The 13,268-nt window shown below is 42.8% G+C and overlaps 1 protein-coding gene across 7 annotated transcripts in view; it reads left to right on the top strand.

The window, feature by feature from the left end:
• Positions 1-11,638, top strand: part of TSPAN5 (tetraspanin 5) — a 188,245-nt gene extending 176,607 nt beyond the window's left edge. For 5 of the 7 annotated variants that reach the window (XM_005262680.2, NM_005723.4, XM_047449475.1 and 2 more), the window contains 4 exons: positions 3,195-3,320; positions 5,545-5,592; positions 5,700-5,816; positions 9,418-11,638. In XM_005262680.2, coding sequence (XP_005262737.1) covers positions 3,195-3,320; positions 5,545-5,592; positions 5,700-5,816; positions 9,418-9,483 — 357 coding nt within the window. In that variant the 3' untranslated portion in view covers positions 9,484-11,638. Of the gene's footprint in view, positions 1-3,194; positions 3,321-5,544; positions 5,593-5,699; positions 5,817-9,417 lie in introns of those variants that run through there. The other 2 variants (XM_047449477.1, XM_047449476.1) reach the window with 2 other exon arrangements.

Raw genomic sequence — 13,268 nt, 5'->3', positions numbered from 1 at the left:
GTAAGTTTAAAGTGGTTTGTTTTCAAGTTGAAAGTTCTCTGAACGATGACCCCAGTGAATTTCATCCCTCCTGGTTTCTGCATCTGCCAGCTGGAAACTACCTGACTATTCTGCATGGGTGTTTGTTTGTTTGTTTATTATTTTCCGACTTGCTCTGTGACTTACAGGATTTGTATTCTAAATGGAAATTTCCTATTTTCACTTGTTTCAACTTCTGTTAAGTTAGAGGAACAAAGAAGAAAATGCTTGAGCAAAACGTTATAATCATGGCTGTCCTTTCCTATTTGCATTTGAGGAACATTGTTTTGCTCCGGGTTTAAAGTTTTCTTTGGTTATTAAATATGGATTCTTTCTTATCCCTTGCCCCCTTTTTTGGTAATCCTTGATATTTCACAGCTCATAATAATCTACTTATCAACAGAATAATTTGCCACAAAGTTCCTAAAATGTGCCTATCCAAATATTATTATTGCACATGCAGTTAAAAGCAAAAGCTTAGAAACTCCTAAGTCCTAGTGGCTTCTAACAAGTGAAGAATCTGTGCAGTGGAATCCGGGCCACTCTCTCCTATCCCTGAGCATTGGAGTCCAGGCCACTCCCTCCCGTCTCTGAGCATGCCTGTGAAATGGCTCTTTCAGTGCCAGCAAAGCAGCAGATGTCCCGTTTCACTCAGAATGCAAGGGACCAAAAGACACAGGTCTAGTGCCAAAATCTGATAAGGGACCCTGGGCTCACAGGACCTTGACCTATTTCCCCAATAGCAAAATGGAAATAATACTAGCTACTGTCTAACTCACAGGGATATTATGACACTAATGAGACATACATGTTTTTATATTAGGCTAAGGTGTTAGGGTCCTACAAACTTGCAGGTCTTTATATACCTGCACTGAAAAGTCGGGTAGGCTGAGCTTGGACTTGGACAGCGGTGTCTGTGGCATTCATGTATATGGCAGGACCGGAGGGCAAGCAGAAGCCCAGTGAACGGTAGCCTTCTTGGGGTTGGATAGTTGTCTGCCTGTGATGAAGGGAGGCAGCAGCCATGTTGACACTCTTTATGAGGGAGGCCATCCCCTTCCTTAGGCACTCAGGACTGAGCAGGGTTATGTGGTTTTGTTCAGTGGCAGCAACATTTCGTCCTGGAGTAAGCTGCCCCTTAAGTGGGAAATTAAGCCCTGATTCATGTCCTCAGCCGACTTCACTGTTTTATTAGGTCCTAATGGGTGCAGGCTCCCTAATAATCCCTTTCCTGGCATTATTCCTGACTAGTTTGCATGACACATTGATGGAGCTTTGTGGACACACCTCGAAATGCATGACCCAAGCCCTGGAAGGACCATGTTGTCTTGGGATGCTGTGTGCTTTAAACGGAAATACTACAGTTTCATGTGATTTTCTTTTTGCATCATGGAATGTAATGTTTAGAAGTAGCTGTTGGTCCGGAAGGTCTTCAAATGGTTGAGACTTGATATTTATTTAACTCAGAGAAGTAGAGAAAGTGCATCCCAGGGAAGTGAGGAAGGGGCTTGTGTAGTAGCCTTTGACTCCGGCCCCATTTAAGAACCACTGAATTTAACCGCTTGTTTTAATATATTTTAATTGGAAGACTGACTTTTTAAAGTTGAAAATGTAAAACACATGCACTTGTTTTTAAACAAACTCAGAGTAGAAACAAATATGATGAAAAGTTAACCTCTAAAATTTTTGGTGGTAATGGATATATCAACTATATATCCATTGATTGTGGTGACATTTTTGTGATGTATACAGATGTCAAAATTTATCAAATTGTATACTTTAAAATGTGCAATTTATTGTATGTCAGTTATACCTCCATTATTGCGGGATCTGGCCAGCAGCCTGCAATGCAACAGGGATCTCTCTGTTCCCAGGCGGATCGGCAGGTCGAGAAATAATAGACACACACAAGATAGTGAAAGCTGGGTCCAGGGGGGTCACCGCCTTCTGGTCACGCAGTGCCAACAATGCACTGGATATACCAGAATTTATTATTAAGTTTAGTGAGGGTGGGGGTAGGTTAGTGAGGGATTTAGGTCATTTGATTATGAGGTGAGATGGTCACATGGGGATGAAGTAATTCTTTAACATAACATCTGTATGCAAAAGTACAGTATACAGGGATAAGAATTTACAATATAGTGTGTGCTTCAGTAATTTCTAACAGAGCCTTAAAACAGAAACACAGTCTTTCCACAACCTATGATTAGCAAGATATTAGTCAGCAGTAACAGTTGCAGCAAAAGCCAGTTACAAACAATCCATAGAAACAGGACGTGAAGCTACACAACCAGTTAGACCAGAAATTCTCAGAAGGGAGTATGCCTTAACCCTAAAGAGGTCTAGAAGAGCCGTGGCAAGATGAGGGCATTTATAGCCCTGTCTTATACATATGGACAGGTGCCCCTCATGTGTCTGTTTATAGGCTCTCCACAAAGGTCGCATTCTATTCCCAGAGCTATGAACATCTGCTTTTCTGGGATAGGAATCTTGGTGATGTGAAACCTCCCTGACTGCACGTCCATTCATAGGCTCTCTGCAGGGGGAAGCACATCACGCACTGTTGGCTCATTCTGGCAGTCCAACCTGGCATTGTCTTTACACAATCCTGCATGCAATTTTGTATTTCCAGTAATCAGGAGCATTTCATCTTTTATTCCATAGCAATAGTTTCAGGGGGTCTCCCTGCGCTCCATAAAACAAAACAGATCTTTAAAAAAACTATTAGAATGTAGAGATCAAAACTTTGAAAAAGTAAGCTATAGTTAGCCCACCCATAACCCCAGTTGCCTCCTTCAGTCACTACCACTGTCGTTAGTGTCTTATTTACCCTTCTAGAATGTTCTTGTTTCTCCTTCTAGAATGACGTGCCCAAGCCAAACAGATCTTGTTCTAACTGAGCCCTGCTGTACAGCTGCTCTGCCCTTCTTCCACCTAACACCACAGGTCTCATCAGTTGTTTAAATCACGTGCCAACACATCCCTACAAACCTTCAGCCCTAATTAATTTGGAAGATTTTATATGGGCCATTTAGGTTCAGTTTGGCTTAAAAATAAAGTCTAGGACAGAAAAGAAGGTCAGAGCTGGCAGAAGCTGGTGTCGTTCGGCGGGTGTGAGTGTAGGTGACTGCTTGCCTCCAAGTTGGGATGTTCTAATTCTTTCCTGTTTGCTCTAGTGGCAGTGCTGTGGGGCTTTTGGAGCTGATGATTGGAACCTAAATATTTACTTCAATTGCACAGATTCCAATGCAAGTCGAGAGCGATGTGGCGTTCCATTCTCCTGCTGCACTAAAGATCCCGCAGTAAGTGAATGCCAGCGAACTATTGGCCTACTCTGTACATCATGCCGAGAGTGTGCATGGGACGAGCAGAGTGATTTTTTGGTTGAACCCTCTTCTTACCTGGTTACTCGTATTTGTAGCTCCTGTAGGGGGTTATGGTGCTCAAATCTTCCTAGTAGGAGTAATAATTGCTGGCATTAATTTAGCAGTGTGTGCTGGTTCCTATTCTAAGCCTTTATGTGTGTTGGCTCATTTAAGTTGGGCACATTCCTACTGGCAGATACCACCATTACCCTCCCTTTTCAGGGGAAGAAATCAAGGCACATGAGGTGTAAGTGACTTTCCCAAGCTTGCACTGCTAGCAGGCAATGGAGTGGAATATGAGACCCAGGCAACTTGCCTGTATCATCTGTTAGCCTTTCTTCATGAGAAGGGCAGGCTCATATGAGAGCTCTCTGCATTGGTTTGGGGTTAGTAACCCTTTTCTTTTTGGCTTAGTTCTAGGGGAACTATTAGGAGTAGGAGGAGAGTTTGAGACAAGATAGGCCTGGACTGCTGTGTAGGAAGACCACAGCTGCCCAGACTCCTGAATGTCATCATGACTATAGTCATGCAGTTTGCATTTTATTATAAAAAAGAATAAAATATAAAATCTATTTGTAAGTCACTCACTTTTGCCACAGGTTTGATTATATTTTGTGTCAAATCGTGCCTGGTATATAGAATGACTTAAAATGCAATTCTTAAGCCAGGCATAGTAGTTCACACCTGTAATCCCAGCACTTTGGCAGGCTGAGGTGGGAGGATCCCTTGAGCCCAGGAGTTAAAGACCAGCCTGAGCAACATAGTGAGACCCCATCTCTACAAAAAAATTAAAAAATTAGCCATGTGTGGTGGCACACACCCGTGGTCCCATCTACTCTGGAGGCTGAAACAGGATCACTTGAGCCCAGGAGTTTGAGGCTGCAGTGAGCCATGATCATGCCACTGCCCTCCATCCTGGTGACAGAGTGAGACCACAATTCTTAAAAAAAAAAAAAAAAGGTAACTCTCTAGTGTTAGAATGACAAACATGAGAGGTTACTCCACGCATCTCTGTGTGCTCCTAGCTGCAGAACCCTTCTGGGACTCCTCAACTGTTCTCTGGCCCTGCAGTCTCCAGATGTACTCCCCAAGGCTCGCCCTTACCCCTCAGAAGCAGAGCCGAGTGGGTGCTGATGAGCTCAGTGGGGATGCTCCTTCTTATGGTGGAGGCTGTGGGGCTCTTAAAAGGAGCTATGGTCTTGGAGTGGAAAAGCAGAACTTCCCTGTGGGCTTCCTCCAGGGGACCACCTCAGCTGTTTCTCTTGGTCTGAAAGAGGAGACAAAGTCACTAAGGACTGTGCTGCCCCGCCAGCTGCCCTTCCCACCAGCTCAAACCTCCTCTCCCTTCTGAGGAGAGCCACATGGCAGCAGAGTGCCCACTCAGAGCTTGAGGGGCTCATCCTGGTGGCCTTGCACTGGCCAGCGGGTGCCGCACAGTGCGCCTCCTGTCGCCAGTTCCTGTCCCACATTAACACTCCCTTGGGAGAATTCTGTATTCTCAGAGGCATTAATGCTTCCCCTTTCACCTACAGATCCTCTGGGCAGAGCTAGCTCATTCCTTGCGCTCTAAGCTAATAAAATCTGCCCCACACCCCGCAGAGAAGGAAAATAAACAACCCGAAAAAGTGGAACCATGTTTCTGATCAGACCCTGTGAGACGTCAGGTTGTCTGTGTGATTATGTGGTCGGGGCATTGTTTTGTTTTTTAATTATTAAAAGCTCATTGAAAAACAATTTAAGTAACATGGAAGTACATAGATTAAAAAGTAGCAGTCCATCCAAAAGAGCATACATGAAGATTCACTGTGCCCTTTATGTTTTTTATCTGTGTCTCCAGTTCCCTAAATCCCATAAGCTTCTTGAGGTTGGCACCACTTTGAATCTTGAGCCTCCTGTGTGATAGACTTGCTGTCTTTTCTGATATTCCCCAAGCCTTAGTTTTCCTTATTTGTAAAATAGGGCATATTTTAATACCTACTTCTGAAGATTGTCGCAATAATGACATGGGATCATGTATATAAAGTGTTTAACATAGTGCTGCAGTCTTTGTGCCCAGATACACATTTTATTACTAATGCGTAACAGAAGTCTTCTGCTCATTTCTAGGTGGGCTTTCTGTCTAATGAGTAAATTTCACTTTTCTCTTTCCTTTCTTCACCAGGAAGATGTCATCAACACTCAGTGTGGCTATGATGCCAGGCAAAAACCAGTAAGTGGAATCTCATGTTGTTGCTTAGCACGAAGGGTGTTGGAGGAGCTTTGGCCTGTGCCTGGTGCTCTATCTGTGACAATGTGCTCTCCTCTTCTCTTGTGAAGGAAGTTGACCAGCAGATTGTAATCTACACGAAAGGCTGTGTGCCCCAGTTTGAGAAGTGGTTGCAGGACAATTTAACCATCGTTGCTGGTATTTTCATAGGCATTGCATTGCTGCAGGTAAGATAAGGGTCCTTTATGGATATCACAGGGAAATAATGCCCTGGGAGAGCCCTTGCCAGGATCGGAGCTTTGCTTAAAAACCTTGATTGTCATAGTTTTTAAGACACATTGGAGGGCTGAGGAACAGACCTAAACGATTTGGTTTGTGTTTTATTTTATTCATTTATTTATTTATTTTATTTATTAATTTTTTTTTGAGATGGAGTCTTGCTCTGTCGCCCAGGCTAGAGTGCAGTGGCATGATCTTGGCTCACTGAAAGCTCCGCCTCTTGGGTTCATGCCATTCTCCTGCCTCAGCCTCCCGAGTAGCTGGGACTACAGGTGCCCGCCACTACGCCCGGCTAATTTTTTTGTATTTTTAATAGAGACGGGGTTTCACCGTGTTAGCTAGGATGGTCTCGATCTCCTGACCTCGTGATCCGCCCATCTCGGCCTCCCAAAGTGCTGGGATTACAGGAGTGATCCACCGTGCCTGGCCTGATTTGTGTTTTATTAAAGCTCTGAGTTTAGATGCTACTATCATGAAATACTTTAGGAAACCTTGTCTTTTTCTAAGATGGAGACATTAATTAGATAGTGGTTGCCTACTGGCATTCCATCGTTTACATGGGCTCAAAAATACTGCATTGTGGCAACTGAGTCAAACATGCATAGTTAGAAGTAGATCTCAGTGGTGACGTTAAGGTTTTGGGAAGTTTCACAGAGATGTCATACCCCTTTCTCTCCCTAAACTACCTTGCCAAAGTGCTAGTGAAGGAAGGGAGCACCCACTTTTCCTCCTGGCCAGTCTTAAGAGCTGGACTCTTCATGTTGTTGGTGTGATACTTTCCAAAGAGCACATAGTTGAAACAAATTAAAGAAGACCTAAGTAAATATAAAGATATCCTGTGTTCACAATTGCAAAACTTCATATTATTAAGGTAACAACACTCATCAAGTTGATCTACAGATTCAGTGTAATCCCTATCAAAATTGTAACCACCTTTTTAGCAAAAATGGACAAGCTGATCCTAAAATTCATATGGAAAAGCAAGGGACCCATAATAGCCAAAACAAATTTGCAAAAGTAAAACAAAGTTGGAGAATTCACACTACCCAGTTCAAAACTTAGTACAAAGCTATATAGTAATCAACATAGTGTGTACTTGAGTAAGATTAGCCATATAGAGAAGTGGAATAAAATTGAAAAATCAAGAAATAAAACCAGGCCAGGTGTGGTAGCTCATGGATGTAATCCCAGCACTTTGAGAGACCAAGGCAGGAGGATGGCTTGAGCCCAGGAGTTCAAGACCAGCCTGAGCAACATAGCAAGTCCTTGTCTCTACAAAAAGTAAAAATAAAAAAATTAGCCAAATGTAATGGCACATGCCTGTGGTCCTAGCTACTCAGCAGGCTGAAGTGGGAGGATTGCTTGAGCCCAGAAGGTTGAAGCTGCAGTGAGTCGTGATTATGCAACTGCACTCTAACCTGGGTGACAGAGCAAGACCTTGTCTCAAAAAAATAAGAAAAAAATATATATGATTAAAAAGAAGAAATAAGGCCGGGTGCAGTGGCTCATGCCTGTAATTCCAGAACTTTGGGAGGCTGAGTCAGGTGGATCACTTGAGCTCAGGAGTTTCAAAACAGCCTGGGCAACATGACAAAACCCTGTCTCTACAAAATATACAAAAGTTAGCTGGGCATGATGGCGCATGCCTGTGGTCCCAGCTACTTGGGGGGCTGAGGAGGGAGGATCACTTGAGCCTGGGAGGTTGCAGTGAGCTGAGATCATGCCATTGCACTCCAGCCTGGGTGACAGAGCAAGATCCTATCTCAAAAAAGAAGATGAAATAAGCTCGTACGTATATGGTCAGTTGATTTTTGACAAGGGAACCAAAACCATTCAATAGGGAAAGAGCAGTCATTTCAACAAATGGTACTGGGAAAACTAGATATGCAAAATAATGAATTTAGACTAACTCACACCATATGTAAAAATTAACTCAAAATAAAGCAAAGACCTAAATATAAGAGCTAATGCTATAGAACTCCAGAAGAAAACATAGGCATAAATATTTGTGACTTTGGATTAAGCAGTGTCTTCTTAGATATGACATCAAAAGCATAAGCAATGAAACAAATGTAAATAAATTGGACTTCAAAATTTAAAACTGTGCTGAAAATGATACCATCAAGACAGTGAAAAGATAACTCCTAGTATCTAGAAAAATAAAGAACTTTAAAAAGTCAACAATAAAAAGACAAACAACTTAAAAATGGGCAGCCAGGCATGGTGACTTGTCCCTGTAATCCCAGCTGCTTGGGAAGCAGAGGCAGGAGCCTGCACTGAGCTATGATCACGCCACTGTACTCCAGCCTGGGCAACAGAGCAAAACCCAGTCCCTTAAATTATTAAAAAACAAACAAACAAACAAAAATACGGGCAGAGGATCTGAACAGACATTTCTCTAAAGATTAAAATTGCTAATAAAGGCCGAGGCGGGTGGATCATGAGGTCAGGAGATCGAGACCATCCTGGCTAACAAGGTGAAACCCCGTCTCTACTAAAAATACAAAAAATTAGCCGGGCGCGGTGGCGGGCGCCTGTAGTCCCAGCTACTCGGGAGGCTGAGGCAGGAGAATGGCGTGAACCCGGGAAGCGGAGCTTGCAGTGAGCCGAGATTGCGCCACTGCAGTCCGCAGTCCGGCCTGGGCGACAGAGCGAGACTCCGTCTCAAAAAAAAAAAAAAAAAATGGCTAATAAGCACATGAAAAGATGCCAACGTCAGTAGTCATTAAGGAAATGCAATTCAAAGCCACATATTTCATACTCGTTAAAGCGGTTAGAATAAAAAAGACAGACAATAACAAGTATCGGCAAGGATGTGGAGAAAACGAAACCCTCATATGTTGCTAATGGAAATGAAAATGTTGCAACCTCTTTGGGAAACAATTTAGCAGTTTCTCAAAAGTTAAATATAGTGCTACCATATGAGTCAGCAATTCTACTCCTAGAGGAGTACCCAAAAGAATTGAGAAAGTGTTTACCCAAAAACTTGTATGCTCATGTTCATAGCAGAATTATTCATAATTGCCAAAATGTGAGAGCAATGCAAATACACATCAACTGAGGAGTAGATAAACAAAATGGGGCATATCCATGCCATGGAATATCATTCAACCATCAAAAGGAATAAATTAATAGCACATGTATATGAACCTTGAAAATATTTTGCTACATGAAAAAGACAGCCACAAAAGCCCCATATTATATGATTCCCTTGATATGAAATGTCCAGAAGAGGCAAATCCACAGAGGCAGGAAGTAGATTAGTGGTTGCTAGGTCTGTAGGGATGGTGGGATGGGAATGACTGCTCACAGGTACAGGGTTTCTTTTTGGGGTAATGAAATGTTCTGTGATTAGATAGTGGTGATAGTTGCATAGCTTTGTGAATATACTAAAAGCCCCTGAATTATACACATTTCAAGGATGCTTTTTACCACATATGAATTACATCTTAAATTTCAAAAATCAATGATTTAAAAAAATGGGACACAGTGGCCAGGGAAACAAGTTACAAGTGTCACTGTTTCACTCACATTTTCTTCCTTTCTCAGATATTTGGGATATGCCTGGCCCAGAATTTGGTTAGCGATATCGAAGCTGTCAGGGCGAGCTGGTAGACCCCCTGCAACCGCTGCTGCAAGACACTGGACAGACCCAGCTTTCGGGACCCTCCCGCGTGCCGAACTGATCTTCGAGCTGCATGGACCTAATCACAGATGCAGCCTGCAGTCTCGCCTAATGGAGCTGCCATTAGGGGAGTGTAAAACTGGGAAATGCTGCTCACTGACAGAATTAAAAAAAAAAATAACCAGTATGAAAGTCGTTGCGCCGTGAATCTCTACTGTAGCCATGAATTTATGGACAGTTAGATGCTTACCAAAAAAGAAAAAAAGGGAGGGTAGGGGACCCAGATGTACTTGAATGTGCAGAAAATACATTCTTGTCCTCATCTTCCGTAATTGGAGGGCTGGGAGAGGCAGCTTTGCTCTTCACCACACCTTGGACGGACCACCTTCTTTCTGTTCCATGGCCTGAAGGAGTGCATCTCCTCAAAGACTCAGCCCCTCACCTGGGAGGGCAGTGGTTTGTGGGCATCCCTCCATGTACATTTTAGGAAACACTTGCAACTCTCATCTGAAGAAGAAAACAACTCATCTTTGGGTTCAGATTTTGTGATGGTATTCAGCAAGTCACTTGGGCGAGCACACTTGGTCTATCCTGGAAAGTCTCCTTATAAGAGAAGTTGTGTATTTCATGTGCACCGAGCAAGGGCATTGGAAGACGTCATGAGGCTGTATTTTAGCAGGACTGATCGTTTTTCTAAGTAGACCTGAGCTTTGTTTATCAGTGAAATTCAAGGAGAAAATGAGGTTAATGAAGAGGTATCAGTTAAATATCCCCTTCTTCTCACCCTGCCAAAATTAGCAGTTGGATTTTTGGAAACTCTGGAATATTCTGGGTCATTTTGTTTTGTATGTTTGTTGTTTTTCGTCTTCCAAAGGTGAAAGCTATGATACAGTTCCACTTAAATTTTAGTGTTTTCTTACTCAGCTCAAGCATTAATTTTTGATTAAGTCTTAATCTGCATGACCTGTGAATCTGAATCCATCATCTCCCTTTCCTGCCAGCTTTTCTACAAACATTGAAATATGTTATTTGGTCAGCACTTATTTCCTAGGTTCACAGCCTTGGGAGGTTGTGGCATGTCCTCCCAGTCTGGCTGGGAAGAGACCAGCTGTACCATCCAAATGCTTCCCTGGTCTTGATGATCTCTTCCAGAGTCGATCTGAGTGGCCTTTTCTGCACCCTCCCCTTCTTTCTCTTTGAATGGAATTAAACCCAATTTGGAAACAACATTGACCCAGTCAAAAGCTTCTAATGGTTTCTTTTTCTTCCTCCAGTTTTAGTTTGCTTTTATTAAAAAAAGAAAATAGTGCATGGCCATAGCTCCTTCAGTTCTCTTATTGCAGACTAACCATCAGGATGGTATCAAAGCACAAATACTTTGGAGGGGAATGCGTTGAACTGGGGCAAGTACTCTGTAACACAAAGTGGGAAACCACTTCCTGGTGCTGCCGCTCCTGCCCCCACTTTAGGTGGGAGGGACGAGTTTTGCCCTCTAGATTTTAATCCAGCTGGTGTCCACCGGATGTTGCCCTCCTGGGGAGCAGATATCAGTCTGTGGAACTCTGGGAAAACCACAGGCACATTTTTCGGTGCGGACAGATTTGCCAGCACATAACTGGGCAGCCAGCTAGAATACTTTGTGGAAATTAAGCGAGGTTTTCCATTTCAGCCCCATGGTGCATGGTGGTGGCCGATGAATGTGTCAGTCTGCTCAGAGAAAGGACAAAAAGGAAATTATTTTCAAAACTGTGTTCACTGTTTGGGTGTGTGTATGGCTCTGCATGTGTGTGTTTTTGTCTCTGTATAGGTAGAGGTATTCACATCTTACTCCGACTGTAAGGTTGTCTTACTTCATCTCTGCCCCCACCACAGTTGCCATTTTGTAATGTCCTTCCAACATGGAGAAGACACGAGCTCTCTCCAGTTGGCATCATTTGTCTTTTTTGTTGATTGCCTCATTCTCCAGTGAACTCCATCTGGCCAATTGATTCAGAATCAGGCAAGATCCCTGCCCTTTGGCACATCCACTGAAAGGCCAAACAGCAAGTCCGAGTGAGTTTTAAATATTAATTAATCACCCTTTATTTTTTACACTTGAGAGTGATTGTAATAAAGGCTGTCATTAATAAACTTGGTTCTACCTTACATGGTGTGTCTTTCTTCATTACTTCTTTCTTGAAATTGTGAAATTTTCGAATCCAGTGGTTCTCAAACTTTAGCAGGTGTCAGAATCACTGGGAGGACTTGTTAAAACACATGAATGCATTTGCTCCGTGCCCATAATTTCTAACTTAGTAGGTCTGGGGTGGGGCTGGAGAATTTGTATTCTGATAAGATCGTAGGTGATGCTGTTTGCGGCTTGTTTGGGGACTACACTTTGAGAAGCATTGTTCTGATCCAGTTTTCTAGGAGGGGAAACAGAAAGGTAAGATTTTGTAGTTGGGAAGGGAAAGGTTCCTTTGTACTTAAAAATGCTGACTGACAAGACACAGAGGCCAGAGCCTCGTATGTAGGAAATCCCTGCCCATGAGGTCATCTGCTGGTTACAATCACTTGGGGACCATGTGAAATACAGATTCCCCAGACCTTACCCCTAGCAGTTCTGGAGTGGGAGACAGGGTAATCTATGTTTTAAAAGCTCCCTTGAAAATTTAATGCCTGGTGGGATTTATGACTTATGGGCTTAGATAAATGTTGATAATATTCACAACCTTTTATATAAGAAAATAATTTCTCACAGTCCCTTGGAGCTGGAATCTTAAAAACCCATTAGAGAAACGTCAGCTTAAATGTCTTTCATTGTGAATTATCACTGCAGAAGAAGACTTCCGTCGTTAGAACTGATTAAATACTTTTTTCAAAGATCAAATGAAAACAAATTTTAAGGTTCATATAGCACACTTAGATCCTGACAACATAGTGTCAGACTTGTTCAAGAAACGTTTTGCCTCATATCTCAGATATTTGAAACAACGTTATTTTGATTTTAAGGAAATTTATCAGTGATGATTGGAGATGGCCAATCCCTGCTTCTTGAGTTTTCTTATTGTCTACATTGGCCCTCTTTGCTTGTTGCAAACTATAAGCCAACAAAGGAAAAAAAAATGACAGCTCAGAAGTAAAAGGATGCTTTGTCTATAAAACTCAAAAACTTGGAGGAAGTTTCTTCAATGTGTAGAAGGTAGACTTTAGGGGAAGCTTATTAAATTTCTCTTTATTTCTGTTGTTGGGCTGGTTACCACTAACATCATTGCTCCTATAATTTAAAAATATACAGTTTTTAAATGTGAACTCAGGAATTTAAAAATATTTTGCATCATGAAGTACTTAAAGAAGTGCATTTCCTTTGTTCTTCCTCTTCCTTCTCCCAGGGAGTAATAAACCTGGACTTTTCTTTCAGCCTTCTTCCTGCCACAGGTCCCAGTTGTCCTTTCCTCAAGGGGATCCTCAAAGTGTCTCTTGGAGGTTTCTTGTGCAAAGTGATCATTCATTTCCCCGTGTTTGTGTGGGCAGGAATGGAGTGATTTTGCAGTTTCGTCTGTTTCCGGCTGGCTTGGACAGGCGCCCTGGGAAGCCTGTGGGCTGAACAATGAGGAGCTGGAGCCCAGTGACCTGGCAGGCCACCCCAACTCCCTTTGTCATTTATTCCACGAAGCCCTCCTTCTCTAGGGAAATCCTGTTTAGACCTCCAATGAAGAACTGGGAAGCCCTCTATAAACGCTGGCCAGCAGGGTTTCATGGCCAGAGCTCTCTCCAGTGAGGCCATGGGGCTGCT

Source organism: Homo sapiens, chromosome 4 (assembly GCF_000001405.40).
Source record: "Homo sapiens chromosome 4, GRCh38.p14 Primary Assembly".
Classification (NCBI taxonomy): domain Eukaryota; kingdom Metazoa; phylum Chordata; class Mammalia; order Primates; family Hominidae; genus Homo; species Homo sapiens.
This window is presented reverse-complemented; position numbering and strand designations above follow the sequence as displayed.